The sequence below is a fragment of the Homo sapiens genome, chromosome 21 (genome assembly GCF_000001405.40).
Source record: "Homo sapiens chromosome 21, GRCh38.p14 Primary Assembly".
NCBI classification, from domain to species: Eukaryota; Metazoa; Chordata; class Mammalia; order Primates; family Hominidae; genus Homo; species Homo sapiens.
Window position 1 is genome coordinate 31,768,105 of NC_000021.9, and position 16,618 is coordinate 31,784,722.

Consider the following 16,618-nt stretch of genomic DNA (forward strand, 5'->3'; position numbering starts at 1 on the left):
GGGGGTTTGTTGTACAGATTATTTCATCACCCAGGTATTAAGCCTAGTACCTATTAGTTATTTTTCCTGATCCTCATCTCCAGCCCCTGATAGGACCCCGTGTGTATTGTTCCCCTCTATGTGTCCATGTGTTCTCATCATTTAGCTCTCACTTAAAAACGAAAACATGCGGTTTTGGTTTTCTGTTTCTGTGTTAGTTTGCTAAGGATATTGGCCTCTAGCTCCATCCATGTTCCTGCAAAAAATATGATCTCATTCTTTTTTTATGGCTGCATAGTATTCCATGTGTATATGTACCACATTTTCTTTTTCCAGTGTATCATTGATGGGCATTTAGGTTGATACCGTGCCTTTGCTATTGTGAATAGTGCTGCAATGAACATACACATGCATGTGTCTTTATAATAGAACAATTTATATTCCTTTGGGCATATACCCAGTAATGGGATTGCTGGGTCAATTGGTATTTCTGCTTTTAGGTCTTTGAGAAATCGCCACACTGTTTTCCACAATGGTTGAACTAATTTACACTCCCACCAACAGTGTATAAGTGTTTCCTTTTCTCTGCAACCTTGCCAGCATCTGAAAAACCAGTCACCACATGCTATCACCTCTTTATTTTCTATTTTTATTAATTTCTACTCTTATCTTTCTTAATTCATTCCTTCAACTTTCTTCAGGTTTATTTTGTCTCTCTCCATCCCCTGCCAAGCTTCTTGAGTTGAAATCTTGGTTGATTCATTTATTTTCAACATTTCTTATTTTCTGTCACATGCACATAAGGCTATGTATTTTCCCTGTGAGTGCTGTCTTAGCGTGTCCCAAGGGCCTTGATATCCATGGACAGCTCTTACTGTGATTCAGTTCTAAATGGCTTGTAATTTCTGTGCTTATTTCCTGTCAAACCTAAGACTTATTTAGTGGAATGTTTTAAAATATCCAAGAGGATAGATTTTTGTTTGTTATCCATCTTTTATTATTTTCTAATTTTATTCCATTATAGTTCATGAATGTATGCTGTCACAGTTTTACTATTGGGGATTTGTTGTGATTTTCTTTGTGGTTTAATACATTCAGAGAATGTCTCATGAGAGTTGGAAAAAAATGTGTAATGTCTGTTGGATAAAAACTTGTTTCTCTCCATATGCCTATGAAGTTATAAATGTTAGTTTTGTCAGCCAGGACTTCTTAAGACATATTCATTTGGGTAGTAGTTGATCAGCCTGTTTTTGAGAAATGTATTTAAAGCCACCCATGATGGGGACTTACCAGTGATTCCTTGCATTTCTATCAGGGCTTGTCTTACTTACAGATTTTGAGGCCAAGGTTGTAGGTACATAAATGTTTATGATTCATATTTTTGTGGATTATAATGTTATAATTATGATATATTCTTTTAATGCTTTTCATTTTGAATTTTATTTTGTGTGAGATGACTACTATTAATATATACCTGGCATGCCTTTTTCTTTTATTTTCTTTTTTTGTCATCCAGGCTGGAGTGCAGTGTCATCCAGGCTGGAGTGCAGCCTGTCTGTCATCCAGGCTGGAGTGCAGTGGCACAATCTTGGTTAACTGCAACCTCCCTGCCTCCCAGGCCCAAGTGGTCCTTCCACCTCAGCCTCCTGAGTAGCTGCGACCACAGGCCTGCACCAGCATGCCTGACTGATTTTTGTATTTTTGTATTTATTTATTTATTTTTTGAAACAGAGCTTTGCTCTTGTTGCCCAGGCTGGAGTGCAATGGCATGATCTTGGCTCACTGCAACCTCTGCCTCCTGGGTTCAAGCGATTCTCCTACCTCAGCCTCCCAAGTAGCTGAGATTACAGGCATGCACCACCACACCCAGCTAATTTTGTATTTTTAGTAGTGACAGGGTTTCTCCACGTTGGTCAAGCTGGTCTCGAACTCCCTACCTCAGGTGATCCGCCCGCCCCGGCCTTCCAAAGTGCTGGGATTACAGGCGTGAGCTACCGTGTCTGGCCTAATTTTTGTGTTTTTTTTTTTTTTTTTTTTGAGACGGAGTCTCACACTGTCACCTGGGCTGGAGTGCAATGGTGCGATCTCAGCTCATTGCAACCTCCGTCTCCCAGGTTCAAGCGATTGTCCTGCCTCAGCCTCCCGAGTAGCTGAGATTACATAATTTTTGTATTTTTAATAGAGATGGGGTTTCGCCGTGTTGGTCAGGCTGGTCTCGAACCCTTGACCTCAGGTCATCCACCTGCCTCAGCCTCCCAAAGTTCTGGGATTATAGGTGTGAGCCACTGCGCCCGGCCTAGCATGCCTTTTTCGATGTCTTTTCCATCTTTCCTGTGTTCTTTTCATTAGGTGTTAGGATTGCTGATATGTTTGGCCTTCTTTCTGGCTGTGGCAGAAAAGTCACAATGGTCTTTCCCAAGTATATGCCATTTGGCTACCAAAAATGCATCCTCCCTTTCCTAGCATGGAAAGTGACAGCCCAGTCAAGGGCTATTTTCTCAACCCTCTTCATGCCCAGTTATGGTCATGTGATTAGTTCTCAGCAATGAAATGTGGGCAGCAGTGATGGGAATCACTAAGGACTTAATGTTTTTCTCTGCTTTTATTGAATGCGCACTTAATTGGTGATGATTTGCAGAGAAGTGGAGAAAGCAGGGAACTAAGGAGTTTCTATTTGTTTACTGATTCTAAGCCCTGAAAATGCCAGGTGATCGGGGGTGATCAGACGTGTCTGAATCACGTTGGTGGTGCCAGTGACTTGCTTGATGTTTGCCTTCCCCATCACTTCAGCTCCCTGAGGCCTGGGACTGTGCCTACCAAGTGCTACATGGTCTCCCTAAAGCTTGGGTTATAGTACACTCTTTATTAACATTTATTGTGTGAATAAATGAAATGCTTTACATTTACTGGTGACCTCATCAACTAATTCTTTTTTTTTTTTTTTTTTTGAGACGGAGTCTCGCTCTGTCACCTAGGCTGGAGTATAGTGGCGCACGTCGGCTCACTGCAAGCTCCGCCTCCCAGGTTCACGCCATTCTCCTGCCTCAGCCTCCGAAGTAGCTGGGACTACAGGCGCCCGCCACCACGCCCAGCTAATTTTTTGTATTTTTAGTAGAGACGGGGTTTCACCATGTTAGCCAGGATGGTCTCGATCTCCTGACCTCATGATCTGCCTGCCTCGGCCTCACAAAGTGCTGGGATTACAGGCGTGAACCACCGCGCCTGGCCTTCATCAACTAATTCTTTTGGTAAATGAATTTCTGCTTAAACCAGGCCAAGACCTTTCTTTATAAGAAGCCAGGCCAGTGAATCAGGGAGTGAGATCAGAGGAAAGGAAGTCTCCCTTTTGTGTCTTTAAGTCATGTATTGTGCCGTGACTAGCTGGAAAAGCTGCAAAATAGTATAATAGAAGCTGTATATATCAGCAATAGCAAGGATTACTTGTCTGAGAACCTGGTTTGTGCCAGGCACTGACCTTGATGCTTTTCATACATTGCTTCATTGAATACTCATAAAAGCTACCACACAGGTGTGATTCTCCCTATTTTACAGATGCATCAGCTGAGGCTCTGTGCGGTAAATAAGTTGTTCAATGACAGAGACCAAGTAAGTGGCCAAGTCAGGACTCATATCCGTCTTCCTGACTTCGAGCTTGAATTCCCTTCTACCATACCTTATAAAAAGAATTCAGCAGCCTGAGGTTCAAGGTTCAGCTGCATGATATTGAGAATTCATTTAGTTTCTCTGAGCCGCCATCTCCTTATTTGTGGAATGGAGATAATGATGACACTGATTGATGCTCAGCTCCTCACAGAGTTATTGTAAAGACAAGTGAGAGAATGACTATGTGTTTTGCAAGTGATTAAATTCACAAACACAAGTCACTTTACTTACAGTATACTGGAGACACTTACATTAGGCTTTTAAACATTTATATATATATGTATATATATTTTTTGATACAGGGTCTCACTTTGTCACCCAGGCTGGACTGCAGTGGTGCAATCTTGGCTCACTGCAGCCTAGACCTCCAGGACTCAAGAGGTCAGATCCTCCCAACTCAGCCTCCTGAGTAGCTGGGACTACAGGTGTGTGCCACCATGCCTGGCTAATTTTTTTTGTATTTTTTTGTAGAGATGGGGTCTCGCCATGTTACTCAGGCTAGTCTTGAACTCCTAAGCTCAAGTGATCCATCCACCACGGCCTCGCAAAGTGCTAGGATTATACGTGTGAGCCACCGCTCCTGGCCAGACTTTTTTTTTTTATTTAAAAAACTTTATTTTTAAACTTTAATTTTTGAGACAGGGTCTCACTCTGTCACCCATGCTGGGTTGCAGTGGTGTGATCATGGCTTACTGCAACCTTGACTTTTTGGGCTCAAGGGGTCCTCCTGCCTTAGCCTCCCAAGTAGCTTGGGCTACAGGCATGTGCCACCACGCCTAGCTAATTAAAAAAAATTTTTTTTGTAGAGACGGTGTCTTGCCATGTTGCCTAGGCTGGTCTCGAACTTCTGGGCTCAAGCTCCCACCTTGGACTCCCAGTGTTGGAATTACAGGTGTGAGTCAATGCGTTGGGCCGCATTAAACTTTAAAGTTTCTGAATTTGAGGACACGACTTTATGACAGGCAACCTCTCAGTTTTTCAGAATAGAAATAATCCTTTCAGTCACATGAGAGAACAGTGTCTTCTATTTTAAGTAGTCAACTTTCTCTTTAGTGTTGTTTGTATGTGGGCAAACCCTACCCAAGTTTCTGTTCCTGAAATCAATTTCTTAATTTGCATTAGGCAAAAGTGTTGCATAAGCTTATTTTATTATCATCCAGCTTTTTATAGATCTTTGCTGAGAGACAATACGGGCTTGTTGAAAGAGGCCCTGTTTGACTGTCCCAAGCCCTGGGATGGAGTCCTAGCCCTGGCACTTAGCAGCTGTGGGATCGTGGGTGAACTACTTCACCTCCCTGCTTCTCAGGCCTCTACATCTGCAAAGTGAGAACAAGGGGAGCTCTTTCCCTAAGGGCCCTTTCACTGTACTACTTAAAAATGATTGCAAAGAGTCTTGCGTTAAGCAAAACTGAACACCTGCTGTAAATGTCTGCACCTCAGCAACATGACCCACAGTAGAATCTATATTTAGTTGCATTTGGATAATCTTCCTTTCCCCTTTTGCTTTAGCACTTTCTACCTTCAATTATTTCTTTATTACAGCAATGCCCCCTTTTTGCTCTACTGATGTGGGTGAGATGCAAATGGGCCTTTTGAGACTCTTGCTGTGTCCCCTGGGCCCCAGATGGACAGATGGGAGACAGAACGATTGTGGAGTACATCTTGGAGCTGACAGGTTTTGGGGGCAGGAAGTGTTAGTCAACACATGAGAAAAATGGGGTAAACAGCTGGAAAAGGCTGAGCATTAGCTGACAGGCTCTTTAGCCAACTGTCCTAGGACTGGATCAGGGCCTTGTGCATGGTGGGAGAGGCACCTAGGACCTGTGGAAAGGACAGGAAGCCAGACCCAAGAAGCCTCAGGCTGCAACCTGGCCCTCAGTTATTATCACAAAACTTACAAAGGTGTGAGCCTCGTGAATCAGCTGCAATAGATTGTTGCCTTGAGGACAAGACAGTCTAAACAACTAAAAATTAGCCAGGTGTGGTGGCTCATGCTTGTTATCTCAGGGCTTCAGGAGGCTAAGGCAGGAGGATTGCTTGAGGCCAGAAGTTCAAGACGAGCCTGAGCAACACAGTGAGAGCCCCCCCCCAACCCCCCACCCCTCAACTTCTACAAAAAAATTTAAAAATTAGCTGGGCATGGTGGTGCACACTTGTAGTCCTAGCTACTTGGGAGGCTGAGGTGGGAGAATTGCTTGAGCCCAGGAGTTTGAGGTTGCAGTGAGTTATGATTGTGTCACTGGACTCCAGCCTGGGCAACAGAGCAAGACTCTGACTCAAAAAAAAAAAAAAACAAACCCAAAAAGCAAAAAGCAAAACCAAAAACCACACATACACAATGAAAATTATTACAAAATAGCCTGAACTTGGTAGATCCATTTCTTACACCAGGCATGGTGGCTCACATCTTTAATCCCAACATTTTGGGAGGCTGAAGTAGGCAGATTGCTTGAGCCCAGGAGTTCAAGACCAGCTTGGGCAATATAGGACACCCCATCTCTATGAATTAGCCAGGAGTGATGTCATGGGTCTGTAGTCCCAGCTACTTGGGAGGCTGGGGTGGGAGGATGGCTTCATCCTGGAAGGTAGTGGCTACAGTGAGCTGAGATTGCGCCACTACACTCCAGCCTGGGTGACAGAGAGAGACACTGTATCAATCAATTAATCAATAAATAAAATGAAAGAAAAGAAAAGAAAGCATTTCTTGAATACCAAGAAACCCAAGATATGACAGCTGATGCACATGAGGCCGTGTCCCTTCATGCAGTGAGGTGGCAAGGCCTGAACAGGCGGATGTGGCCTCTCAGGAAACTTGTCCATGATTTCTGCCTTCCTCCCCTGGGGCAGTCCTGCTTGGTTGTGTAGGAGGCAAAGGAAACTGATGGCTTGGGAAAAGTCCTGTTGATACGAAACTAACCTGTTTAAAATTTAGTGAGATTCAAGTTGTCTCTGAAAAGTAACATTTAGGCTAGTCCTGTTGGATTGTGCTTCCACCCTACTATATGCGTAACCTGTTCCTACTATAAGCAGCACTCAGCATTTACATCTGGTTTTACAGGGACCAAGGACCCATTACCATTAATGATCTGCCAAGCCACACAACAGTTCTGTGGAGGCAGATAATGATGTCCAATTTACAGACAAAGAGGGTTAGATTTGAAGATGCACAGTACTTTTCCTGGGGCCAGATCCTTTTACCAGACACAGGGAAATACATTAGAATTTTCAAGTATGTAACTCTTTGCTTTTTTGCAAGCCATGCATCCTGTTGGGTGCATTCCAAAGATTGTGGATTCTATTGGTGGATACCAACTCATACACAAAAGAGAAACTGTAGGAATTCTGCCCAAAAAGGAGGCCGTGTCTTGCTAGGCCCTCGGGTCTCTGTAGGGATGCACCTGTTGATGTCCTCTGGCCTCTTGTCCATCTTACCTGGTAAGGGGCTTCTCCCCTCTAACCCCCCCTCCCCTCACCTAATGGATCTTCCCTAAACCTAGCTTTTATCTGGTCAGTCCTTTGGAAGTTTCCAGAGTAAGAAATATGAATAAAGGGAACATGTGTACACAACTAGGGGGACAGTGAGTCCATTAGATCATTTCAGAAAACAATTTCAGAGAACCTAGGAAAGCTGGAGGCGCCCTGCCATCCAGAAGCCCTTGCACGTTCTCAACAGACAACACACATAAGAACATCCTGGCAGCATTTTTATTAGAGCAGAAATATGGAAATCAATCCAAAGTTTCGTTAATCAGATGAAAAAGTATGAGATATGTTCTCTAGTGGTGCTAGAGAACAATGGAGATGATATGTTCTCTAGTGGTGCTAGAGAACAATGGAGATGAATGAACCAGAGCCAACACCTCACTGTGGGTGAATCTCTAGAACACAAAGTTGAATGAAGAAGGAAAGTCATGGAAAAATATGCACAGTAAGATCCTATTTATATAAGGTTTGGAAATAGGTGAACTAAACAGTGTCTGTGGGGAACAGACAAATGCAGTTAAACTATCAAAATAAACAAGAGAATGATGAGTGTCTAAATCAGACTGAGTGGTTTCCTTTGAGGGGATGGGAGGGACAGAGACCAGGGAGGGGACTGCAAGGGTTTACTTCTTTGGTGATGTTCAGTTGCCTAAGCTGGGTAATAGGTCCCTAAGGATTCATTTTATTATTATCCTGCAAATCTTGCATCTGACTACACACAAACACCTGCATACATAAGTATTCTTTACTTTGCATGACATATTTTGTAATGAAAAAATACACAAATAAACCACCTCTAGGAAAACTTGCCTTTTCCCATAGCACCTCTGTCTAACTGGAAGACCCTTCCCAGTCTGGCAGCTCTGGCCTTGTAACATCAGCCAATGCTAGTATTACATTGTGCCAGGAACTGTCTTACGTGCTCTATGTCGTATTGCCATATTCAGTCCTAACAACTCTACAAGACAGGCATTATTATTATCCACATTTTATACATGAGGAAGCTGAGGCCCAGAGAGGTGAAGTCACCAATCCGAGTTAACGTGGTTAGTTCATGGCAGAGAGAGTATTGGAACCTATATGGCCTGATGGAAGAGTAGGAATATTGCTGATTTTTTTCCCTCTAGCTTTCCCTTCCTCTCTGGCTTTGCCTTTCCTCTTACTATTTCATGCACATTCCCACCTTTCCCACCCATACTCGCACGTGCCTGGTTCTCTTTGATCAGAATGGTCTTTCTCAAGTATATGCCACAAAACATCACAACCACAAGATCCTCCGTTTAAAAAATGGGAGTGCCACAGTCAGATAAATGGAGCAAACATTGAAAAGTAAAACCCACTCTCAGAAAATTACAATGGTCATCAGCGATTAGATCTTCTAAGATGTTCTAAGAATCACTTGAGCCTAGGAGTTAGAGGCTGCAATAAGCTATGATTGCACCACTGTACTCCAGCTTGGGTGACAGAGTGAGATCCTGTTTCAGAAAACAAACAAAAAAACAAAACAAAAGAAAAAGGCATGCAGAATACACACACACACACACACACACACACACACACACACACACACACACAGTATATGTGCGGAAAAGATTTTGGATTGGTGAAATATTGAATATTGTGCTCTATTTGCTCTCCCCCCTCCTTGGATTTCTAATGTGAGGGGAAAAAATCTTCCTTCTCGTGATGGTTAATATTGAATGTCAACTTGACTGGATTGAAGGATGGAAAGTATTATTCCTGGGTGTGTCTGTGAGGGTGTTGTCAAAGGAGATCAACATTTGAGTCAGTGGACTGGGAAAGGCAGACCCACTCTTAATCTGGGTGGGCACAATCTACTCAGCTGCCAGCATGGCTGGAATAAAAGCAGGCAGAAGAATGTGGGGAGACTAGGCTTGCTGAGTCTTCTGGCCTCCATCTTTCTCCCATGCTGGATGCTTCCTGCCCTCAAACATCAGACTCCAGGTGCTTCAGTTTTGGGACTAGGACTGGCTTTCTTGCTCTTTAGCTTGCAGGCAGCCTATTGTGGGGCCTCATCTTGTGATCAAGTGAGTCAATGCTCCTGAATAAACTCCCCTTTTATATATACATTTAACCTATTAGTTCTGTCCCTCTTGAGAACCCTGACTAATACACTTCTTCAACTTCATTTCTTTATACCCTCTAAGATTTTCCTATGTCTACCAAATTTATGCTCAGTGCAAAAATATAATTCATTCCTCTGTTCTTATTCCTTGTATTCATCTTCTATTGCCACTGTAACAAATTACCACAAATGTCGTGGCTTAAAACAATACCAATTTATTATCTGACAATTCTGGAGGCCAGAAGTCTGACACAGGCCTCCAGGGGCTAAAATCAAAGGGTCGGCTGGCCTGTGTTCCTTCCAGGAGGTTCCAGGAGAGGCTCTGCTTCTTTGCTTTTTCCAGTGTCTGGAGGCCTCCTGGGGACCTTGGCTCCTGGCCCGTTTCTCTGGTTTCAAAGCCAGCAATGACCAGTCAATTCCTGATGCTGCCATCTTTCTTTAAAAACTCATGGGATTAGCTTGGGCCACCTGGATAATCTGGGATAATCTCCCCATCTTAACATCCTTCACTTAATCACGTCTGCAAAATCCCATTTGCAGTGTAAGGGAAAATATTCACAGGCTCTGAGGATTAGGGCATCCGTATTTTTGGAGCCATTAGTCTGCTTACCACAGTGCCCCAACTTTCAGGAAGACTTTGAGGAGTGAGCAGAAGTCATTGTGTGACCAGGGAACATAATTCGGTGCAGAGTCAGCTGTGTTCCTCAAGCTCACTATGAGACTCTGAAAGTCCTAAGTCCAAGGAAATCCATGGGGAGTGTCGGTGATCTGGTTTGGCTCTGTGTTCCCACCCAGATCTCACCCTGAATTGTAACAATCCCTACGTGTCATGGGAGGGACCTGGTGGGAGGTAATTGAATCATGGGCGTGGGTCTTTCCCATGCTGTTCTCATGATGGTGAATAAGTCTCATGAGATCTGATGGTTTTATAAAAGGGCAATTCCCCTGCACACACCTTCTTGCCTGCTGCCACGTAAGATGTGCCTTTGCTTCCCCTCTGCCTTCTGCCATGATTGCGAGGCCTCCCCAGCCATGTGGAACTGTGAGTCCATTAAATCTCTTTCCTTTATAAATTACCCAGTCTCGGGTATGTCCTTATTAGCAGCGTGAGAACAGACTAATACAGTTGGAAAGGAGAATTTTGGAGGAGCCGTGTTCTTCTTGTCTTGGTTTGTGGATGTCTCATTAAGTATGGGAGGGTTTGTTCTTTTAGCAGAAATGTTGGTCTGTACTTTCAAAGTATTTGTGTTGCTTGGAAATTTGTATTGTTAACTTGTTAAGTAGGAAATTTGCTTAGTTAACTGTTACTGAGTGGGGCAGACCGAAAGTGTCTGGGCAGAGGCAGTTCCCTGGTGGATGCTAAGGAAGGGCCTGTATTTGGGGCTGGCCAGAATGCTAAAGGATAGGGCAGGGTAGTCTGTGGTCAATGCCAGCAGATGAGTCATGGAGTATGATACGGGGATTGGCGTATCTGATGGGCGTGAAGAGGATGGCCACTGGGAGCACCGAGTACCCAGCAGGTGGGCAGTCAGGCAGCAGGCCACAGGGAAGCCTGTGGAGAAGGACTCTGGTCCTTAAGACAAAGGGGAGTAAACCAAGATAGCACCCAAGACCTACAGGGATGTTGCTATAAGGCCCTTGGCTGAGACACGAACTCGGGCACAGAGAACACAGCAGCAGCCCGTTTATCAAACTGGGATCCAGGGGGGATTGTGGCAGTGTTCCCCAATGGTGGGTCTGCTGGGTTACAGATAGTTCAATTCTGCATTGTGTGGCTATTTCCTGAATATTGCAGGAGGTTTGGTATCCCTGGTTCCCACCCACCAAATGCTGGTAGCCACCCTAAGTCATTTTATCAATCATTTTGGGATAGTGCTCTAAGACATTTTCAAATGTCCCCTTAGGGGGTGGTAATTTGCTCCCAGGTGATACTGAAATATGACCAGCCTAAGGTTGGAATGGATCCCAGGACTAGGGGCAGCTATGAGCCTGGGGAATAACCCGCCAGCCCTAGGAGTGAGCAGATGTGTATATAGAGGTAGGCCTCATAAGTACGAGAGACGCTGTTGTTGTTTTGTTGTTGATACAATGGAACTTATTTTTCAAGGCTTTTTGTAGTAATTTATGCCCTGGCTCCTCCATTCTCTCAGCCATCTTCCTTTTTTCCCTTCCTACTTGCAATGTTATTATTTTTTCTTTTCCATGCTGACTACCCTAGCTGTTGACTACCCTACCCTTGTTGTGTCTGTGGATGGTTGTAAGAGGTCCGTAAATGACTATTCTTTATCCTGTCCCTTCGTTGCATCAGCTGCTCTCCCTTTGCCTTCTGGAACATTCTTTCAAGCTCAGATCTGATCATTGTTGCCCAGTTAATGAGTCTTTTGGGGTCCCTACTGCCAGCCCAGTGAAGGCCAAACTTGGCTGGCACTGAAGACCCTTAGCCGGTCTTGCTGGGTGGTCTTCCAGCTTTATGTCCCAGCTCTAGAATCTACGATTCTTTTGGTTTCAAGGTCTTCATTCCCCCTGGCACACCCTTGGCCATTTGCTTCCACAACCTCTACATCATCAACGACCTACCCCATCTTTCCCTTTATGCATCTCCATCTTTTAAGGACTGATTCAAATGCCACCCTATCCATGAACAGTAAAGCACACTAATAGATATGATAAGGCTTCTCAATTTTTTTTTTTTTTTTTGAGACAGAGTCTCACTGCGTTGCCAGGCTGGAGTGCAGTGGCACGATCTCGGCTCACTGCAGCCTCCACCTCCCAGGTTCAAGCAATTCTCCTGCCTCAGCCTCCCAAGTAGCTGGGACTACAGGCGTGCGCCACCACACCTGGCTAATTTTTTTTTGTATTTTTAGTAGAGATGGGGTTTCACCATGTTGACCAGGATGGTCTTATCTCCTGACCTTGTGATCTGCCCTTCTCAGCCTCCCAAAATGCTTGGATTCCAGGCATGAGCCACTGCACCTGGCCTCAAAACTTTTTAAAAAGTATTAAATTACTGATTTTATGTGGTGTTCCTATGAACAGACATTATAAAGGTTTAGATGCTTCTCACCTTCTTTTAGCCATGAAATGGCATCCATGTTGATGCAAGGACCATATCTAGATTTGGGTAGTTAGTGGTGGAAAAAAGTAAGTCTTAAACATGAAACCGCTTGGTTTCTCTCTCTCAATGTTGTTTTCTTCAAAAATAAAATATTGAGTTTTCTAATATGAAGGTGGTATTTTTTTCTGTTTTTTTTTTTTTTTTTTTTTTTTGAGACAGAGTCTCACTTGGTCTGTCACCCAGGCTGAAGTGTAGTGCTGTGATCATAGCTCACTGCAGCCTCGACTGCCCGGGCTGAATTGATCCTCCCACCTCAGCCTCCCGAGTAGCCGGGACTACAGTATGTGCCACCATGCCCTGCTAATTTTTTATTTTTGTTGAGATGGGGGTCTTGCTATGTTGCCTTGGCTGGTCTCGAACTCCTGGGCTCAAGTAATCCTTCTACCCTGGCCTCCCGAAGTGTTGGGATTATAGGCATGAGCCACCATGCTGGAGGTATTTTTAATTATGACAAGTTAAACTATTTTTAAAATTGTTGCTCATTATGTAAGATATCTACCCCAAGAGCATTTTACAAAAGTTAAAGAGAAGTCTGATTCAATCTTTCATACTGTTGAGCTGGAAAATCTCGAGTAATAGATAAATCCACTCTGAACAGCAGAGGGCTCTTATGTACACAAAAAAATCTGACTGCTTTTAAAGAGCATCAGCACAGGTGTGTGAATCATATGTTCTCATCTGTGTGCCTCTACAGGTACGAGTGTCAACAGGTGTAATGACTGCTCACGGCCACCATCACTCATACCTTTCTATTTCCCAGTGTTGTTAGAAAGAGCAAAATGAGACAGCCTGTGGGAAAGTATTGTAGCAACTTTAAACCGAGATGCAAATGGGAAATATTATTATTAATCAGTAAAACTACAGAAGTAATAATTTCACAAGATTGCTGTAAGATGAATGAGCTAAGGCACACAGAGGTGTCTGTAAGCTGTAAGCTGCTGCACAAATGCTTATTTATTTTATTATTTTTTTAACTGCAGCCTCAAACTCTTGGGCTCGAGTGATTTTCCCACCTCAGCCTCCCAAGTAGCTGGAACCACAGGCACGTGCCACCACACCTGGTACAAATGCTTGTTGTTTGTTGCCTGCTTGCAAGGGGCTCTCAGCTCTGTGTTTCCAGGCCTGGGCTCTCTCTAGAATTCCAGAGCTGCATCTATAATGTTCTGCTTGGAATCCCTTCTTAATGCCTAATAGGCATCTCAAAATTAATGGAGCTGAAGCTGAACTCTTGATCCACTCCCTACCCCACTTCAAAAAGAAAAAAAAAATCAATTAGTCCATCCCCAGTCTTCCCCATCTCTGTCAATGGCACCCAGCTGCTCAGGACACACATCAAATTTTTAATTCTGCTGTTTTTCTCATTTTGCTGAATCCAGAGTAGGTCTTGCCCACTCTCATTCTGAGGCACATCTCAACTCTGCCCTCCCTCTCCGTCCTCTGTGCTTCCAGCTAGCACGAGGCCCCACAGTTGCTCATCTGGACTCCTGCCAAGAGCCTACTAATGGTTCTCTCTTCCTCCTCCAATCCATTCCTCAAACGCAGCAGGGTGTTCTTCCAAAACAAATCACATCATGCCACTCCCTTGCTTAAAACCCTCCCAAGTCTTCTCCATTGCACTTAAAATTAAAACCACCATCCTTTCCTTGGCTGAGAAGGTCCCACCTGGTCAAGACCCTTCCTACATTTGCAGACTCATCTCCCACCATGCTCTGTCCTCTACCCCACTCCAGCCCCTCTGTCCATGCTGTGGACACAGCAGGCATGGATTCCTCATCTTTTCGTGGCTGATTTCTTTGATGCATCCCATTCTTGGCTTAAATATCACCTCCTCAGATAGGTTCTCCCTCACCCACCAGTCTAAAGCAGTGACCCATTCTCTCTTTCTTCATTCACCCTACCTGGACTCTCTATGAAACATTTCCCAGTAGTTGGTATTACACACCAACCACATTATGTCCTTAATAAACCATTTACTTTCATATTTCATCTAGTGACATAATTTCATTAATGAGATCATTGAGCTGGTGTACCATACCTCTTTGGGATTACAGAATACAAGAAATGAATACAGAAAATGCTTTAAAAAATAAGCAATGACATGGGTTGTAATAGAAATAGCCACAACCTGTTAGTGTTCCCCCTCCACTCAGAGAATCAGTGACTTTAGAATGTTGGGGAAAAAGGCCAGGTGCGGTAGCTCACGTCTGTAATCCCAGCACTTTGGGAGGCCAAGGCAGGCAGATCACCCGAGGTCAGGAGTTCGAGACCAGCCTGGCCAACATGGTGAAACCCTGTCTCTACCAAAAATACAAAAAATTAGCCAGCATGGCAGTGGGTACTTGTAATCTCAGCTACTCGGGAGGCTGAGGCAGGAGAATCACTTGAACCTGGGAGGCGGAGGTTACAGTGAGCAGAGATTGTGTCATTGCACTCTAGCCTGGACAACAAGAGTGAAACTCTGTCTCAAAAAAAAAAAAAAAAGAATATTGGGGAAAAAATCCACGCAAAATATGACTACAAATGAGTTATCCATCAACATCACCAGTGTCGAATCAGACTTCTTACTTTAGGAATATCCCTGACTTATTTTGTGTGCTCTTCCCTCCAGTTATCATCAAATATTTATCGAGCATCTACTCTACCAAATGCAGAGGAAATCATGAGAAATAACAGCAGCCCACTAGGACCACTTCCCCTGAACCTTTTTTTCTCCCCTCTCCATCACTCCCCTCTTCCTTGTGTGAAAACATAATTTGTGAATACATAGAATGTTCTAAGCCTGTTCCTAAATGCATGTTTTGCTTATTTGGGGGAGGCAGCAGCAATTACTAGGCAGTTGAATCAATTATGATAATGATTTGAAATGACTATTTTAACTAATACATGGTCTTGGGGAAGTGCTATATTCACCTTTTAAAAAGTGAATCCACTGTAGTCTTGGAAAAATTAACCAAGTCTGTACATGCCAATGGCAGTCTCTTGGAAAATCTGCAAGGCAAATAACCCACATGTTTGGGACCCGCTCACCTTCAGACATCCTCTTCCTGACCCAGATGTGTCTGCCTTCTGGTAAGCCCCTCCAACTGTAAAATCCCCTCCACCCCCACCCCCGAAACTATCCTTCTTCAGAGGCTTCTCCTCCAGTGCCATGTCTCCCTTTCCATCTTCAATGAAAACTCCTATGTATTTGCAGTAATGTTTGATTAAGGTCATTTATACACATGTGTGAATGACTGATAGTCTTAACTCACCAGGTTATACTTTTTCTTTGAAAGAGAACTTTAACGAAACTCTAATTCGGAAAAAGCTATTAGCAAAATATTTTAGAGCAAGGTATTGGGAGCCTCTCTTTATGAGCCGTATTACCTTGGGCAAGTGACATAACCTCTCTGTGCTTCATTTTCTTACGTGTAAATGGGGATTGTAAAACTCATAAGATTGCTGTCAGGATTAAATTAATGTATGTAAAGCACTTAGAATAGAGCTCGGCACAGAGAAATGCTACATATATATTAGCTATTACTGCCACTGCCACCACCACCATCACCACCACCACCACCACCATCACCATCATCATCATAATCACAGCCACCACCACCATCATCACCACCACCACCACCACCATCACCATCACCACCATCACCGCCACCACCATCACCATCATCATCATAATCACAGCCACCACCACCATCATCATCACCACCACCACCACCACCATCACCACCATCACCATCACCACCATCACCGCCACCACCATCACCATCATCATCATAATCACAGCCACCACCACCATCATCATCACCACCACCACCACCACCATCACCACCATCACCATCACCACCATCACCGCCACCACCATCACCACCGTCATCACCACCACCATCATCACCATCATCACCATTATCACCATCACCACCACCACCACCATCACCATCATTAGCAGCTATTTAATCACCACCACCACCACCACCATCACCGCCACCACCATCACCACCATCATCACCACCACCATCAACACCATCATCACCATTATCAACAACAACAACAATAACAACAACAACAACCATAGCAACAATTACATCACCACAACAACCACCACCAACACCAACATCACCACACCACCAACAACCACCACCACCACCACCATCACCACCACCACCATCAACAACCACCACTACCATCACCACCACCACCATCATCAACACCACACACCACCACCACCACCACCACCAACCACCACCACCACCACCACCACCACCACAACAAACACCACCAACAACAACAACAACAAC

At 44.1% G+C, this 16,618-nt stretch overlaps 1 annotated feature.

The window, feature by feature from the left end:
* Window positions 4,720-5,009: an enhancer, noted in NCBI's record as "active region_18357". NCBI's record gives its function as "activates an Ori minimal core promoter by ATAC-STARR-seq in GM12878 lymphoblastoid cells {active_cell/tissue: GM12878}" and the evidence as "EXISTENCE:reporter gene assay evidence [ECO:0000049][PMID:35858748]".